Raw genomic sequence first — 18,936 nt, 5'->3', positions numbered from 1 at the left:
GTGGAAGCCCTAGGCCTTAGCAGCTTCCACGTGGTGTTGAGCCTTTGAGTGCGCAGAAGTCAAGAACTGTGGAACCTCCACCTAGATTTCAGAAGATGTATGGATATGCCTGGATGCCCAGGCAGAAGTTTGCTGCAGGGGCGGGGCACTCATGGAGAACCTCTGCTAGGGCAGTGCAGAAGGGAAATGTAGAGTCAGAGCCCTCACACACAGAGTCCCTACTAGGGCATGACCTAGTGGAGCTGTGAGAAGAGGACCACCATCCTCCAGACCCCAGAATGGTAGATCAACCAACAGCTTGCACCATTTGCATGGATAAGCACAGACACTCAATGCCAGCCTGTGAAAGCAGCTGGGAGGGAGGCTGCACCCTGCAAAGCCATAGGGGTGGAGCTGCCCAAGACCATGGGAACCCGCCTCTTGCATCAGCATGACCTGGATGCGACACCTGGAGTCAAAGGAGATCATTTTGGAGCTTTACAATTTGACTGCCTTGCTGGATTCTGCAAGGACTTGCATGGGCCCTGTAACCCCTTTGTTTTGGCCAATTTCTTCCATTTGGAATGACTGTATTTACCCAATACCTGTACCCTCATTGTATCTAGGAAGTAACTAGCTTGCTTTTGATTTTACAGGCTCATAGGCAGAAGGGACTTGCCTTGTCTCAGACAAGACTTTGGACTGTGGACTTTTGGGTTAATGCTGAAATGAGTTAAGACTTTGGGGGACTGTTGGAAAGGCATGATTGGTTTTGAAATGTAAGGACATGAGATTTGGAGGGGCCACAGGTGGAATAATATGGTTTGGCTGGGTCCCCACCCAAATCTCATCTCGAATTACACTCCTATAATTCCCATGTGTTATGGGAGGGAACTGATGGGAGATCATTTGATTCATGGGGGTAGTTTCCCCAATACTGTTCTTGTGGTAGTGAGTAAGTCTCACAAGATCTGATGGTTTTATTGGGTGTTTCCACTTTTGCATCTTCCTCATTTTCTCTTGATGCTGCCATGTAAGAAGTGCCTTGATTCTGAGGCCTCCCCAGCCACGTGCAACTGTAAGTCTAATTAAACCTCTTTTTCTTCCCGGTCTTGGGTATGTCTTTATCAGCAGTGTGAAAATGGACTAATACATCCATCTTCTCTGTCCATATATACAAACCTTATCAAGGATCAACTAAGTGCCAGGTATTGTATTACAAAATCAATGAAATGAACACCCATTTCTATTTCCTGGCAACAAATTATTACAGATTGTGTCAGAGGTGTTTGAACAGGTGACTTCATCTTGAATAGGGCTGGGTAAAATGAGGCTGAGACCTGCTGGACTGTATTTCCAAGAGGTGAGGCAATTTTAGTCACAGGATGAGATGGAAGGTGGACACAAGATACAAGTCACAAAGATCCCGCTGATAAAACAGGCTGCAGTAAAGATGACGGCCAAAATCCACCAAAACCAAGATGGGAACAAAAGTGACCTCTGGTTGTCCTCACTGCTCATTATAGGCTAATTATAATAAATTAACATGCTAAAAGACACCCCCACCAGAGCCATGACAGTTTACAAATACCATGGCAATAGCCAGAATTTACCCTATATGGTCCTAATCGGGGAAAAACCCTCAGTTCCAGGAATTCCCCACCCCTTTCCCAGAAAACTCATGAATAATCCACCGCTTATTTAGCATATGATAAAATAAAACCATAGAAATAGCCAACCAGCAGCCCTTGGAGCTGCTCTGCCTATTCTGTGGACTTGTCCCAAAGTCTTTTATGCTTGAGATCCAAGAACCCTCTCTTGGGGTCTGGATTGCAACCCCTGGAAGTAACAATGGCAGCAAGTGTATAAGACGCTCTTTATAGGTGGTCAATCAAATTTCTAGTTTTCGCTCCTCCATAATGTAAGTACATACTTTATTTCTGATCAAGACTAGCCACAAAATAAGCATCGGTTGGGGCTGGAGCCAAGACCCAGGTTAAACCCCTTGCCTTTAGAAGACAGAACACAGCTGACGAATGAATTAGTATTGACAATGTTTTCAGCAGGTGATCTGCTTGACTCATTAGGGGAACTATCTGGTTCATTAGCCAATATACCTGGTTCAATGAATAATACATTTGATTAAACAGATGAAGCATTTTTTGTTTTAAAAGATAGAAGCCTTTCTACCTCCCACCCTCACCCCTCTGCAGTAGTGGGAGATGTAACTGCTCACAGCAACTTTTGTCTACTTCTGTATTCATCTTTCCTTGCTTAATGCACATCAGTCTGTTCTGAGGGACCATATGCAGGTGTGTGATGAGCACAGTGCTGATACAGGCAGAATTCAGGATTTGGTTATTTCAATAAACCACTGTCATCCAGAGTGTTTCTGAATTTTGTTTTTTAAAAAAGGCCTCAATTTGCTATCTAGACACAATGGGGCTGTTTTTAGCCTGCTGAGATTCACAGCTATATAATCTTTGTTTGCAAATCAGGTCTCTTTTCAACAATGTTGGACGTGGAGACAAAAACAGCCATTCTACAGTCACTTCTCACCCTCAGTATCCTCCTTTTTATGGGGTGAAAGAAAGGGGAGCAGGAGATGAGATCCCTGGAGGAGGAACAGTTGTTCCCTTACTAATACTCATGTCATAACCAGGAACAAACAATTTCTGGAGGCATCCAAGCTCAGGCTCATGAAATCCACACAAACCTAAATTTTGGATGCCCTTAGCATTGGGAAGGAAAAACTAGAAGATACCAGAATCCCCTGGAGGCCCTGTTAAAGCATGGATTTCTGGGCAAATGGAATACTGGTAAATTTTTAACAATTGGCTTTCTTAGGAAGAAAAGATCTAATTTGCATTTGCCAATTTCTGTGGTGCAAATACTCTCACAACAGCCAGGCTCAAACTACCAATATGACCTCACTGACCATGGAATTGGAAAGGAATGTGCATCATCTGTTTTCATGGGTTTATACGAGGCAGCTCCAGCATCACTGGCTGGGTCCCTCCACCCCAGAGTTTCTCACTTGGTGAATCTAGGTTAGGGCCCGAAAATTTGTACTTCCAACAAGTTCCCAGATGGTACAAATGCTGCAATACCAAAATTATTAGGTACCAGATATCATGGGACCTGCCTCTGGCTTTGAAGGCCTTGTCTCCTTCCAAATATCCTCTCTGAAGACCTCTCCTTTTTCCTCTTATATCCTGAAGGGGTCTAATGCAGGCCATTGGAAAGAATTCTTAACCATGGGCATTTGGCTTTGGGCTCTAACCTTTGGGAAAGCTAAGTATACCAATTTTTCAAAAAGAAAACACATATGCTACTGTCCTTTGTTTGCATCTCTCCCTTTTGTAAGCCTGATTGTAAGGAACCAGGTCTTATTCATCTTTTTGTTCTTTGCCTAGCACACTGCCAGTAAAAATTCACTGAACTGAAATGAGCATTGTATACTGGCTTGCATCCCTGAAACACAGATCTTTCAGTTTCTACTACTCATTCGATGTTTCAACCACCCACCTGTCCCCACATTTATTAGTTCATTCATTGATGCAACAGATATTTGAATCTGTATTATGTGCCAGTCACTGGGTACTAGGGATATAGTTGTTAATGAAATAGGCACAATATTTGACCCGTGGAACTTGAAGTAGAGGAGACAAATATTAAATTTCAATTAGATTTGTGATGAGTGCTTCACAGAAAATGTCCAGGATGCTCTGTGGGCATACAACAGGTTGGGGACCTATCTCACTGTGAGGGAATGGGAAAGAAGGGTTCTCTGAGAAAGGGGGATTTAAACTGAGACCTGAATGTTCGATAAGGGTACTTGTTCCTTGCCATGCACCTGTCCCTTTCCCCCATCACCTCTCTTTGGAAAGGTGAGGTGATGGAGGTGCTTTTGGAAAAAAGAGGTGATGGAGGAAAGGGACAGGTAAGGGACAGGTGCATGGCAAGGAACAAGTACCCCAGACAAGGGAAACTGTAAGAACACAGAGAAGGGCAGTATGGCACGAGATGAGGCTGGATAGGGAGGTGGGCTCTGGACTTCATCCTATGAGGAGGGGGGACCATGGAAGGATTATAAGCAGAGGAGACCTAAATCAGCCTATCCAGCCTAAGGAAACATCACCTTTGAATGTGGTGCAGTCAGTCTTGTTTCTGAATCACAAACACAGACATATGCCCGATTATGAAAGGTTCTTAATGGCTGAATTTGTTCTTGGCTCTCTTTGGGTCAGCCAGACCACTCTATTATCCTCTGGTTGCATTACTCCTATCATCCAACTAAATTATAAACTACTCAAGGGCAAGGATGCTGCTTCCCATTCCTTCTGTTGCCCCATTGTGCCTATGGTGGGGCTGTCATTGGTAAACAGCCATGGGGTACTGAAAAGAGCACTTGACTTAATGCAAGAAGACTGGGGTTCCAGTCCACACCCCACCACTTACCAGCTGTGAGACCAGACCTCTGAGGTGAGGCATTTATCCTCTCAGAACTTCAATTTCCTTGTCTATAAAATAGGGAAATCTTATACATTTTATAAAGTGGTTGTGAAAGGATCAAAGAAGATACTACAGGCAAAAATCCTAAACTAATTGCACACATGAGATGAGGTAATTAGTGATGGACAGAGTGGGTAGGAACCATGGGCCTTACTTACCTTCCTGTGCAGAAGAACCACTCAACCACCAAGCTGCCCTGGCAGCCTCACTGCACATGTTATAGGCTTCCAAGGGTGACAGTCTGAGACCATGCCAGGATCTGGGACCCCAGAAGGACACACATTCTCTGATGTTCCTCTCTCAACCTACATTTGATGGCCTCTGAACTCCAAGGTGTCCTCTGGTCAACACCTTCCTCATATGGGTAAGTCACGTTATGGTTTCTAGAGTGGAAGTGGGGCAATATGGCTTAGGGAAATACAGTTGACCCTTGAACAACATGGGTGTGAATTACACAGGTCCATGTATATAGGGGTATTTTTCTCAACCAAAGGTGGATCAAAAATAAAGTATCTCAGGATGCAAAACTCACACATATGGAGGGCTGACTTTTTTGTGTACATGGGCTCTGCTGGGCAGATTGTGGGACTGGAGTATGTGCAGATCTGGGTACACTGGAACCAATACCCCACATATACGTAGGGACAATTGTATTTTTTAAACAGGACTTCATGAACCACTCACATCAGAATGACCCAGGCACTTATTAAATCACAAATATATGGGCCCCACCCCAGATCGACTACATCAGAGTCTTAGGAACACTTAAGCCTCCCAACTATGCCATGGTGCTCAGAGAGATGAGCACATGAGTTCCATCAACATGACCTCAGCCTCCTCATCTCTACTTTTGATTATACATTATGTTAATCTCTACCTCAGATAGGGCCTGTGAGGGTTAAATGAGATAAAGTATGTGCAGTGCTTGAAACTGCACGTGGCACTTAGAAAGCATTTGATAAATGGTCACATTTATTATGTTACCCTGGCCTCTCAGCAGCCCTGTGTGTGGGCAGATGGGGAGCTGATGTCTGAAAAAGCAAAATGAGTTACCAGAGGTCACACAGCTAATTAGCAGCTGAGCAGGACTAACGTCCCTCAATGCCTAATGCCTAAACCAGAACTATTTCCGCCACACCAGGCTGCCTCCTTTAAGCTCTGAACTTTGTAAATATGTCTCTTCCATATACCAGTCTCTAGGTGGCCGAACAGAGGTCTACATAGCTCTCTTTCATTAGCAATTTATCTGGATATTGCTTTGTGTCTTGCAAACAGATAACCAGGCTCAGCTCTGCTGACCTCTAGAATCCCTAGAGATATAATTGAGTTTGCATTATCTGACAGGTAGCCCATCTCCTGACATTTAGGTAAACTGCAGCACCTCCACACCTGACCTTGACAACCTGCCCCAGGGCTCTGAATCCTTTCCCTTTCTTGCCACAAGCCCCCGCCACCCTCCACCCCAACCCACCTCCCCTTTTCAAACAGCCATGGACACTCCTGTTCAGCCATGTACTACTGATGCAGATGCTGACTTAATGCTAGGCACGCAAGAATACAAAACCCAAACCACTCCCCTTGCAGATCCCGCCCTGCCTCTTTGAGACAGGGGAGATTTAATTTAGATAGAGGTGATTTCTTGTGATATGAATGTCCCAGCCTACCCTTGAGGAACAAACAAACAAGGCAAGAGCCTCTTGGAGCCAGACACTGGAACACAGCAGCACAGTCCCCACGTGCCAGAACCCTGCTTCCACCTTTCTTTCTCTTATGAAGAATTCAGGGTTGTCTATGTTAAGGCATCCTTAAAGCCCCCTCAGGTTACTCTTGATCCACTGCCCACCCACCCTACTGATGGGGGAAGACACAGCAGGTGTGTGATTTTCGTGATTCGATGTCACCTTCTCTTATTGAGTCAGCCCTATTTGCTTTCTCAGGGATTGCACCTCTCCACTACTGCCCCCTCCACACACATTGGCCTTTCCCTTCTCCCTCCTTTTGCAACCCAGACAAAGAAAAAATAGGATTGGGCAAGGCATCTCAAGGACTCTGGTTGCTAGCCTGAGGGTGCTAACCAGGAGGATTTTAAAGGCCTTTTGCATTTTTAACATTCTGTGGTCATCTAGCTTACTCATACTTAGCTGTTTCCAGGACTTGGGCTGGGGACAGCTATCAGCCAATGTGTACTACAATGTGTACAATGTGAAAGCATCTTCAGGGTACTTTCTAGCAGAGGTTCCCAAACCTTTTCCATTCATGGCATCCTTAATGTTTTAGGAAAGTGTTTTCACAGTCCTATAGGCCAAAAGAAATACCTAACAGTTCTATTTATTAAGTAGTTAGGTCCAAAAAACTCCGTGGGTATTTATGTCTTAACAACACTCTAGCCATTTAAAAATAATAATAATACACATAAATTGAAAGAGAAATAGCATTTAGTTTCCTTCTTGAATAACAACAATTACTTGCTAATGGGATAGATGTGCTATTGGGCACTGCACGATGTCTCAAACTGTGGAATTAGAAAAACACTATCCCATTTCCTGTTTCACCTTGATTTTTGCACAGTGCTTGTCTTTTTCTCACAACAACCAATAATCTAGCTTTGCAAAACCATGATCTCCCCGAAAGAAATGCTGAGTGATCTAATGTTAGAATTGTGGACTACTTCTAGCTATCATTTTGCACAGTGTCTGATAGATGTCAGATATCACTGTATTTCCTTAGAAACTTAAAAATATCCTGAGATACCTCTGTGAGTTTACTGTGGCACCCCAGGGCACCCTGGCACAGAGTTTGGGGCCTGGGGCTCTATGGTCTGATTTCCTAAACTCATATCTAAAGCCTTGCTCCCTGCAGCTTCTAAGAGAATCTCAGTAGGTACTTCATGGTATTACTTGCCACCCTGATCTCCTAGCAGATGTAGAGAAGCTAGCCACTTTTGCATTTAGACAAGGGTCTTGGGACAGTCTAGCTTAAGTAACCAGAAGAGCTTTGCACATTTTATTTCATTGTCTAAGCCCAGAAACATCAAACTGGAAGATAGTTTATACTTAGGCAATTCAGACTAACTGCCTGATTGTGTTTGCTAAATGTGTATGCAGGTGGGTTAAGCCCTAACCATGCTAGTGACAGGGAAAAAGAAAACAAACGGAAGCTATGGTGTCAGCCAATCAGGTTGACTGCATACCTGATCTGGATAGCCTGGGTCATTATTCAGCCTTTTGTTTAATGTTCCTGGATCTATACAGTCAAGATCAAATTGGCAATAAAAAATACTTTAGATAGCTGTTAAGCATAGCCACGTGCCAGGTACTGTGATAAGATCTGCATACTTATAGGTTCTACCCATGCAACCTCTCTGTAATGTAGATACTATTGCATCCACAACAATTAATGAAGAAACCAGGGCTTAGAGCAGTCATACAGCACATAAGCAGCCAGGACTTGAAGACACATCTTCCTGACTCTAGAGACCCAAATTTTTGCCACTCATATACTGCCTCTTTAAAAATGTCATTTTCCTGAACCCAGGAAGTTGAGGCTGCAGTGAGCTGTAATTACACCACTTGCACTCCAGCCTGGGTGAGGAGAGTGAGACGTCGTCTCAAAAATAAATAAATAAATAAATAAACAAACAAATAATAAATATATAATTTTTCTTCCCAAGGATGCCAAACGGCCCACTTGGCAGCTTTTTGTTTGCCACCCGTCGCATCCCTGTTTCCTTGAGCCTGTACCCTTCCCAGCAGATGCAAAGATGCTTCCCGCATCTTGTTCATCTCACCCATCAGCAATACTGAGAATTATCTTCTTTCTTGTTTCCCTCATCCCTCCACCCAACTCACATCACAACTGGGGAGGAAAGAATACCAAGTGTCCTTTAAACAGAAAAGTCAAAAGCTATAAAAGAAAAGGAAATGGCATTTGCCTGGCATAGAGGATGGATAATTTAGAGGCCAATGCTTTAAGTTATAGAGAATCTGTCAGACCAGGTTCATGGACATTTATTTCTCCCTCTTGCCAGTAGGTCCTAGAAACCCCAGTTCTGTCTATAAAAGCAAATGTCAGGGAACCTGTAGCTCTCCCCTCCACGACCAGACATTAATGCAGGTAGTGCAGCACTAATGCCTTGAATTATTTGTTGCTCCCGTCTGCATTTTCTCAGAAGTTCCCTTTATCGACAACTTATGTGTATTAACACTTTGGGGGTGAGACAAAAGAAAATCATGGTGAGATTTGAGGCGTCTGCCTCATACTTGGCGGAAATGCTGGCTCAGCCACCGCCCAGATTGTTAACAGATCTAACCTGCAATAATGGTCTCCTTCTGCTCAAGAAAGCTCTACTTGATGTCATGCTGCTACTTCGGTGGCTGTCACTGCCTCTCCTCCTTCTCCTCCTCCTCCTGTTATTGGGGTATAATTCACTTTTTGTGTACCATTCTATAATTTGACCAATGTATACATCCACGTATACCCACCACCACAAGCAAGATATAGAAAATTTCCATAGCAACCAAAAATCCCCCCATGCTCTTTCATCATCCACCCCTACCCCCTCGCCTCAGTCCTATCCACCACTGATCAGTTTTCTGTAGTTTTTCCTTTTTCAGAATGTCAAAAAAATAGCATTACACTGTATTTAGCTTTTCAATTTTGGCTTTCTCTTAGCATGATGCATTTTAGACTCATCCATGTTGTTGCGCGTATCAGTAGCGTGTTCCTTTTTATTGCTAAACCAGAGGGTTTTTTTTTTTTTATTCACCAGTGAATGATATTTACATTGTTTCAAGTTTGGGGTAATTATGAATAAAGCTGCTTTAAAAATTTGCATACAAGTTTTTGTGTGAACCTAAGATTTCATTTTTCTTAGGTAAATACCCAATAGTGGGATTGCAGGGTTTACTTTTAATTGACACATAATAATTGTATGTATTTATGGAGGACATAGTGATATTTCAATACATACAATGTATAGTGATCAGATCAGGGTAATTAGCATGTCCCTCATCTCAACATTTATCATCTGTGTTGGGAGCGTTCAATATCCTCTCTTCTAGCTATTTGAAAATATATGTTAGTGTTAACTAGAGTCATCCTTCAGTGCTATAGAACACTAAAACTCATGCCTCCTACCTAGCTGTAATTCTGTATTCTTTAACAAATCTCTCCTATCCTCCTTTTCCTCCTACCCTTCTCAGCCTCTAGTAAATTCTATTCTACTCTTCACTTTTATGAGATTAACTTTTCTAGTTTCCGCATCTGAGTGAGAATATGCAGTGTTTAACTGTTTCTGGCTTATTTTACTTAACCTAATGTCCTCCATGCTCATCCATGTTGCTACAAATGACAGAATTTCATTCTTTTTATGGTCAGATAGCATTCCATTATGTATATATACCACATTATGTATATATACCACATTATGTATATATACCACATTATGTATATATACCACATTATGTATATATACCACATTATGTATATATACCACATTTTCATTATCCATTCATCTGTTGTTGGACACCTAGTTTTATTCCGTGTCTTGGCTATTGTGAATAATGCTGCAATAAACCTGAGTGGTGGGGCAAAGGGGAGGTAAAGATATCTCTTTGACATGATTTCCTTTACTTTAAATAAATACCCAGTAGTGCGATTCCTGGATCCTATGGTAGTTCCATTTTTAGGTTTTTGAGGAACCTTCCTACTGTTCTCCCTACTTAACCATACTAATTTATTCCTACCAATGGTGTATGAGAGTTCCCTTTTCTCTGCATCCTCATCTTTTGCTTTTTAACTGGGATGAGATGATATCTCACTGTGGTTATGATTTGTATTTCCCTGATGATTAGTGACTTGAATACTTTATAAGTTCAAACTGTTTTCCCCAATAGCTGTAGCAATGGGGATTCCTACCAGCAATGCATGAGAGTTCCAGTTGCTCTGCATCCTCGTCAGCACTTGGAATTGTTGTTGTTTTTTTTTAATTCCTTTTAAAATTTTAATTATTTTGAGAGTTGTATAGTGATATTTCAGCCATAGTTTTAACTTGCATTTTCTTAATATCATTCTCTAATATCTTTTTTTTTTTTAATGGCCATTTTTAAAATTGGGTAGTTTGTTTTCTTATTGAGTTTAGAGAGTGTTTATATATTCTAGATACATATCTTTTGTGTTTTACAAATATTTTCTCCTATTCTGTGACTTATCTTTTCATTCTTTTAATAGTGTCCCTTGAAGAACAGAGGTTTTCAATTTTTTGAACGTCCAATTTGTCAATGTTTTCTTTTATCGATCATGCTTTTGATGTCATATCTAAGGAATCTTTGTTTCACCCAAGGTCACAAACATTTTCTCCTACATTTGCTACAGAAGTTTTATAGCTTTAAGTTAAATATTTGAGTCTATGATCTATTTTTAGTTTCATGCTTCTTTTTAAGTTGGTTGTCTTTTGAGGACAGAGAGGAAGAGGAAGGAAGAGAAATTTGACTTAAAGTCTGTAAGGAGTTTGTCTGACGACAGTCAGCTCATCACTACACAGGAGGCCACATGATGTAGTGGTTAAACCTTAGGTTCTGACATCAAGTGCCTATGAATCTGCCATCCATATCGTAAGTTGTAACATAGAATGATTACATATACTTGAGGACCCTCAAGAAAATGAGTTGTTAAAAGAACTTGAAAATGAGTTGTTAAAAGAAAAGTTAAGATTAGAACCAGGAATGTGGTATTGGGCTTTAGAACCAAGGCCCAGTGGTTTCAGCTGGTTCTGTGTAAGGACAAAAAGAACTCTCAGCTGGGGAATTCCCTAAGAATGTTTGCCAAAGTGGTTTCTTGCTCAGTACTAGAATAACAGATGAGGTTCTATGATTGAGCCACTTGTATTCCCCATACTGCATATGGCTGCCTTTGCAGCCTGGTTCTACCTGTGTTCCCTGGATCTGAGCTAACAGGGAGCACTGGCTTCCTTGCTGCTGCTCTCACTGCTCCAGGCCACTCACCTACTTAGATGTGTCATTGCTTTACCTGTGCTCCCTGCTCCCAAACTCTCCATCTTTCAGCCCTTTGTTTGGAAGGAGCACCTATCAGCTTTTGTTTGGACTGTTTCTTCCACAAAGACACCTATTCCACACTCGAGAAAGGAAGACTTACAAATTCACAGCTAGCCGGGCACAGTGGCTCACGCCCATAATCCCAGCACATTGGGAGGCCAACGCAGGTGGATCACTTGTGGTCAGGCGTTCGAGACCAGCCTGGCCAACATGGTGAAACCCTGTCTGTACCAAAAATACAAAAATTAGCCAGGTGTGTTGGCACGTGTCTGTAGTCCCAGCTACTTGGGAGGCTAAGCCAGCAGAATCCCTTGAACCCGGGGGGTGGAGGTTGCAGTGAGCCGAGATTGTGCCACTGCACTCCAGCCTGGGTGACAGAGTGAGACTCTGTCTCAAAAAACAAACAAATAAAAACTTAAAAAACCCAAAAAAACAAATTCACAGCTAGAAATGATCAAAGATGTTTTTCTTCTCTGTTCACAGCATCGAGGCAGGCCTACCCTAAAATCTTCTGGGAAACATACATCCAACTAGTTAAATGAGAGGCAACGTGGCATAGAGAACAGCAGGTGGGGATGGGAGCACAGTGGTTTTGTTCTGAAACTTGAGTTAACATCACAATTCTGGCACTTATTTAAATGCCACTTTGGGCAAAGCACTTGCCTGCTTAGCCTCAGTTGCCCAATCTCAGGGTGAAGAATTTTGAAATCTTTATTTGGTTTCATGAGCGTTAGATGATATAGTAACTGCTTGTGAATTATCTGGTACATTGTGGCAACTTTCATAATTATGATGATAAAGTGTGCTCAGCCTTCCTCGACCCTCATTTCCAGAATTCACAACTCTTTCGGAGGAACTTCTTTTTTCCTGTCTAATCAAAATGCCCCCTGCTGCTGGCACAGCTCACTTCTAGGATCACATCTAATCAATGGCCCTCAGACTATCAGATGGAAGTTGAGAACATCCTAATGGCTTTTGAATTTTTTGTAAAGTACATGTGTATGTATAGTGCAATCCACTTGTGAAGAACTTGTAGCAGATCAATTACTGTAAATGCCCTAAACAGCCTCAATTGATTGCCATGCGTGATTTGAAGTTCTGATTAATACAGGCTTTGTTCAAAGGGGAAAGCTTTTCTGAAAGAGAAGGAAAAAAAATCGTTGTCCACTCTTGCCAATATCCTGAATTATGAGGCCGCAAAATAGTCTCCATTAGCAACTCCCCGCGTCCAGCAACCTGCTACTTCCAGAGAAAGTCTTGCTTCAGTGGGCACATCTCTTACTTGTTGGGAGGCTTGGAGAAGCATCTGGGATGATCTTGTTCCAGAACAAATTTTTCCCAGGTTGCCTCGGCTGAAAGTGCTGTTTTTTATTCCTGGGTGAGGGGCTATCTTATGTATCTTAATCCTGTGCAGCCTTGGTGACTCACCACAGCTCTTTGGGGCTTAGCTTTGAATTCCCTTGACTTTGAAGTTACAAACGTCAATCCTTCCACGTTACTTTACCTTCATTTCTGGAGCACTCGTGTGCATATCTAACCCCTGCGTGCACATGAGTATTCATTTGCCTGGAAGTCTTAAAAACGTTAATGTAAAATTGGGCTAGAATTCTACAGGCCAGACTCTGACCTCAAATATTAATCATGCCCGGGTAGCCAAGGGGAGCCATGGTCATTGTAAAGAGAAGGCATAAGCTCCCCCTGAAGCACAGTAAGGCAAACTAATCGAAATCAAACCCCCATTTTAAACCATTTCACTCATCAGCAGGCTGTTCATTTTTCTCAGGTGTACATCTTGTTTTTGATCAGACAGAAGCAGTGATCTGATCAACTTTTCGATGGAACAAGAAACCAAACAAGACATGGCCAAGTCACATCATGTTTCTCGAGTGGTTTTTGATAGAAATCTACTTTTTTGAATTCTGTTCTTGTTTATTCAAACATGATCTCAAAAAATGCTTTTTCTATCTCCCTCTTCTCCACCTCTACCTTCCTTCCCCCACCAACTCCCCTCCTTGCTCCCAGAACACTTTCTTATGTGCTGAAGAGTTATTTAAAGATGGGACCTGAAGTTCAACACTCTGGAGGGATCCCTTTTTAACTCTAGACCGTCCCCACCCAGAGGTCTTCGAGGGGGTCTCTGGAGTGCACCTGCTCTGTCAGAGCATGCCACATGGGTGCCCAGCACTGGGCCAGCATTAGTCAGCCCTGACTTGGGAGCAACAGTTGCAGTGTGGTCACCCTGCCCAGCTCCCCAGTGCCTTGACAACTTGGCTCTTGTCTATTTATTAAGCTCCTTCATTATGTCAAGGCCTGGGCCAGGTACTTTCATTTGTGATAGTGTATTTGATCTCAGTTAGTTCTTACAACAATCATGTGACTTAAGTGATATCACCATCTTCATTTTAGGCATAAAGATAACCGACCTAATAAAAGTTAGAGCTGAAATTCGAACCCAGCTTTTATGACTCCAAAGCTTATCTTTTTTTCCTCTGTATCTCACTGCCTCTAAATTACCATGCAGTTTCCTTCCAAGAAAATAAGACTTATACATAGGACAAGATTTTCTTTACTGGGGACAGAGATGACCTTACAGACCAATTGGTGTAAAATTTTAAATAATCAAATGATTTAAAAAAGGAAAAGAAACTAAAGTTGAGAGGCTATGTGACTTACCCAAGGTCACACAGCTATTGACTTGGATTTGTTTGCACTAATATTTGTACGGCACCATTCAGGATACCCTGCCCAGTCAAAGAGATGAAGGGACTATGCTTCAAAGTAAAAGGGATAAAGCCAAAGCCATATTACTCTTCCCTGGAGGGCAGTTACAAAGATTGCTAGATCCTACTATGTCTCATGCCCATAATATGGTCTTTCTACCACTTCTTCAATTCTCTATGGTTTATAATTTTGTTTTCTTACTGCCTAATTTGAGATTCTTTCTATGAATATGAAGAATAAAACAAAACAACAAAGTACCCACAAGTGCCCTGAAATATTTGAACAACTCTGAGCCTTTCTTTAGGTTTTCTTAGATTTCTATTAAACATGCCTCTAGCAATTTGTGAAAAAAGAACAGTCTTTCTTGTTTTATCTGGAGTGACCTGGTCTAGTTGTTTGTCTCAAAACAAGAATGAGGTGACCTCAAAACAGAGTATTACAGGCTGTAGCCATGTCCAGTGTTACTTGAGGGTAAGAAAGAGATAAAAAAGAACTCAATTATACTAGAGAGAGAGATTTCCATTCCTTCAGCAATTTTTTGCAAAAACAAAGTACCTATTAATGCAATGAAATACAGATCAGCAAACGGGTAAGGTATTTGGTTTGGGACTTTCTCATTGGTGTCTCCATCTAATGATTTGTCTCTTCACAGAATCTATCCTCCCAGGGCATCTACACATCAGGAGAACTAAAGGAAAAAGAAGTATTTCTTGGAATTAAGCCACATTTTAACCCTGGGGAAATATCTCCAGAAAGGAGAACAAGCAACATATGTGTGTTGGCCTAGTCCCCAGACCTGTCTCTATCCAATTCCCACCTTACTTTGTAAGGAAATGGGCCAAATCCGTACCACAAATACATTGAATTCGACTGGCAGTGATTTTGTCATTGTCAGCTCTGACCCTTGATCCATGAGTAGGTCAGCCTCCACCCCAACTGAGCTATGTCAGTGCAATGTTTGTTCATTTATTCACTCAATAAATGCCAAGCACCATTTTGTTGGGTGTTGGGGACATAGTAAACAAAATGGATAAAGATTTCTGCTCACTTTGTCAGATAAACAGAGAGGTGGAAATGAAAGGCCAGGCAATGATAAGCACAAGGACAGAAGGAAAGTGGTAAAGGAAGGTTCATAATGATAGTCAATAGATGAAGATGCCACTGGCACCTGGGCCAGCTTCTGTCTACCTGTTTCCCCTCCTCCTCACTGGCTGCTGTCTTCTCCACAATCCTCTTTGCCTTGGTCAACTGCGTCTCGGCCCAGAGATGCTCATCTTAAGAGAACTTCACTGAAATCATTTGTGTTCATTCTTCTGGACTGAGGTGTCCAACTGCTCCCAGCTTTTGTGTGGTGTCCATTTCCTTCCTCTTCCTTCTAGAATCTCTCACTCTGCTCCAACCCTTGAGCTCTCCTACATGGGCTTACATGTGTGTCTTTCTGATTCCCAACTCTCCTGGCTTTCTCTTCTATTTCCTGCCACAAAGCTTCCTTGTACTCGATGGTCCCTAATCTCTTCAGGGAAGAGTTTCCCTTTACTGTGTTTTTTTCCACACCTGGTTTTTGGAACCCCAGCAGTAGTCTGTAACTGTTACTTCCACAAACCTTGCTCTGGCATCTGTCTCCAGTCCTACATGAAAAGCCAAAGATGATTTCCAAATATCTTAAAGCAAAGAAGTAGCCATTTGTTAAGCACACATATACAGGTGCATCCACATATAGGTGGTGCTTTTATGAAGTCCTCACGCGAAAGAGCACAAGCCTGCCTGGGGCATAGTCCCCACAAAGCTTTGTTGTCCCACAAATTAAAATTCACTCACAGAACAATACTCCCAGGGAGATGGGACCGCCCCATGTATTCAGCCATAAGCCTAATGGGTTCTGAGTTTCCGTTAGTCCTTCCCCTCAACAATATCTTATGGCAGCCAGGGTCCTCAGGTTAATTATACCTTCCTACATTTAAAATAATTTCCTTTCTTAATCCACTTAAAATATGTGTCCTTCAGAATCAGAATGCTGCTCTCCCCATCTGGAGATGTCATATAACTAGATGCCTAAATGGATTTTCAGATGCACTAATTACTTTACAGCTTTCTCTGCCAGAGCTGCTGCAGTCACTGGCTCATCAGAGCCGTGGCTGTTGTTGCTCACTGGCACTGCTGTCCTGATGGCCTGGCTATGCTTGTTCCTTTTGGCTGTGGAACGGCTCTTCCCAGACAAGCCATTTATCTAACTCCTGGTATCCACAGACTTTAAGTCATCAGCTTTGGATCATTTCCAATGAACTACCAATATCCATCCTACTCTCCAGGAGAAAAAAAAACCTACCCTGTGATGGTTATTATTAAAAATTAGTAATAGATGTGTAAGCTTTAAATGAGTACATTTGTTCCTTGTCTTTTAACAAACATTATATTTTACATGAAAGTTAAATTGGAGTACTCCCAGTTACGTAGTCAACCCTGAATACACATGGATTCAGCTACCTGCCTTCATTTCATTTCTTTCTTTCTTTTTGAGATGGGCTGTCACTCCATCACCCAGGCTGGAGTGCAGTAGGGTGATCTCTGCCATTGCAACCTACACCTCCCAGATTCAGGTGATTCTCCTGCTTCAGCCTCCCGAGTAGCTGGGATCACAGGCACCCACCACAATGCCTGGCTAAATTTTGTATTTTTAGTAGAGATGGGGTTTGACTATGTTGGCCAGGCTGATCTCAAACTCCTGACCTTAAGATATCCACCTGCCTTGGCCTCCCAAAGTGCTGGGATTATAGGCATGAGCCACCGCACCCGGCTTCTGCCTTCATTTCGAGAGTAAGTTTATAATGGCCTGAATGTTTGCTTGGGCTTCTGCTCAAACCTTATCTGCAATCCCTGTGGCACTGCATCTTCCTGTGTTTAAACAGTAGATTTGAAATAAACAAGGATGGCACTACGACTGAAAAAGCAAAGAAAGAGAATTTGAGTCATTTCAGATTTGTCATTCTATGTGACCACTTGGAGTATTTATTTGTGTTTGATATTTAAAACAGTGAGTCAGAGTATAAACTGGGAGGTCTAATATTTTTGTTTGATAAGTGCCAATTTTAGTTTGTGCATAAAATGCCATGCTAAATCTGAACGATATCTTTAAAATTGAAATTTATTCATTTTGTTTTAAAACTAAAGTATGAATTAAGAAAAAAGGGTTTTATTAAAATTTATTAATTAGTTATTAGACAATGATGTACATTAAATATTATATCTGATTTTTATCAAATGATCCAAATTCAAACTATTAGGTATATATAAAACTGTAGAATAAATAGTTGTGATTTTTTTCTCGTTCTAGTAGGAACATGGAGGAACTTGAAACCATGACTGTATTGGCTCATAATTATTATGAATTTTGTAAAGAGATTTGAAGTGGGAACCCGACATAATGACATTGACTCAGTGAAGTTCAACAAAGATAATTATGAAACAAAACAAAACCAGAGGAAGTGACGCAACATCTAGATCTACTTTGAACTATATAGTGCCTTCAAAATCACATATAGCTTCATTTCATAATTGTCACTGAAAATAATTTTGTTGTACAGAGGAGGGAGGTGTTAAAAAATTATGTGTTCTAACTGTCAAATATGCTAGAGATTTCACCAAATTACTGTTGCTCTAGCATTTCCCTGCTTACTGGGAAAATGAGTGTCTTTTGTGTTTATTAAACATTCATGTTTCTTATTTTACAAAATGTTTGCTAAATCTTGTGCCTATTTTTCTATTGGGATTTATGATCAATCTGTACAAGTTCTTTATATATTCTTAGTATTAACCCTTTTATCCTCAAACATGAGTCTGTTCTTTATGTCCCCGAATTACCCTATCATGTATCAATATTTCGTGAGATTCTATAAGGCTATCTTTTTGTTCATGATTTTAAAATTTATTGTATTGTGGTTAAAGAACTTGGATTCTATGAGAGAAACTCCTTGAGATTCTGGATTTCATATTTCTTGTTAAATAGATTCTTTAGTTTTTATGCAATGCCCTTAGTTATTCTTAATAATATTTTTATTCCAGCCTATTTTGTCTTTTACTAATATTGTTAACACCAGGACTTCTGCTTCCCACCCAGATGGGGTAAGCAATGACTGGATTTACCTTCCTTCCTAAAAACAAACAAGCAAACAAAAAAGCAAATAATTTTCAAGTCACTAGATAGCAGATTATGAAGAATAATTTGAGGGATGGGAAACAAATGCAGTGAGCAATTGGTCTAGCTTAGGTCTTGATAGAGGTTCCAGGATGTGGAGCATGGAGGAAGAACTCAGGTAAAGTTTGGCAGACTCCCTGAATAAACAGAGCTCAAACTCAGCTGAAAACAGAGCTCAAAGTCAGCTGAGAACCAGGTGGCTGGGGTGCACAGGAGAGAATACTGAAAAGAAGGGAACTACAGAAAAGAACTCTGGCAATTGTAGAGGGTGCCGCTCGAGTATTCAGCTGAAGACTAAGTGCAAGCATGTGAGAAAAACCCTGAGGCTGAAGAAAGAGCCACTCAGAAAGGATTAGAAGGAACAGTAACCAGTGCTCACATAGGTCAAAGAATAGTTCCTTTCCCACCAGCCAAACTGGAAGGTTTTATGATTCATGGGTCTTTGGGTAAACTATTCCGAGGAATCTTTCCTCAGTG

The sequence above is a fragment of the Homo sapiens genome, chromosome 1, assembly GCF_000001405.40.
Source record: "Homo sapiens chromosome 1, GRCh38.p14 Primary Assembly".
In the NCBI taxonomy this organism is placed as follows: Eukaryota; Metazoa; Chordata; class Mammalia; order Primates; family Hominidae; genus Homo; species Homo sapiens.
This window is presented reverse-complemented; position numbering follows the sequence as displayed.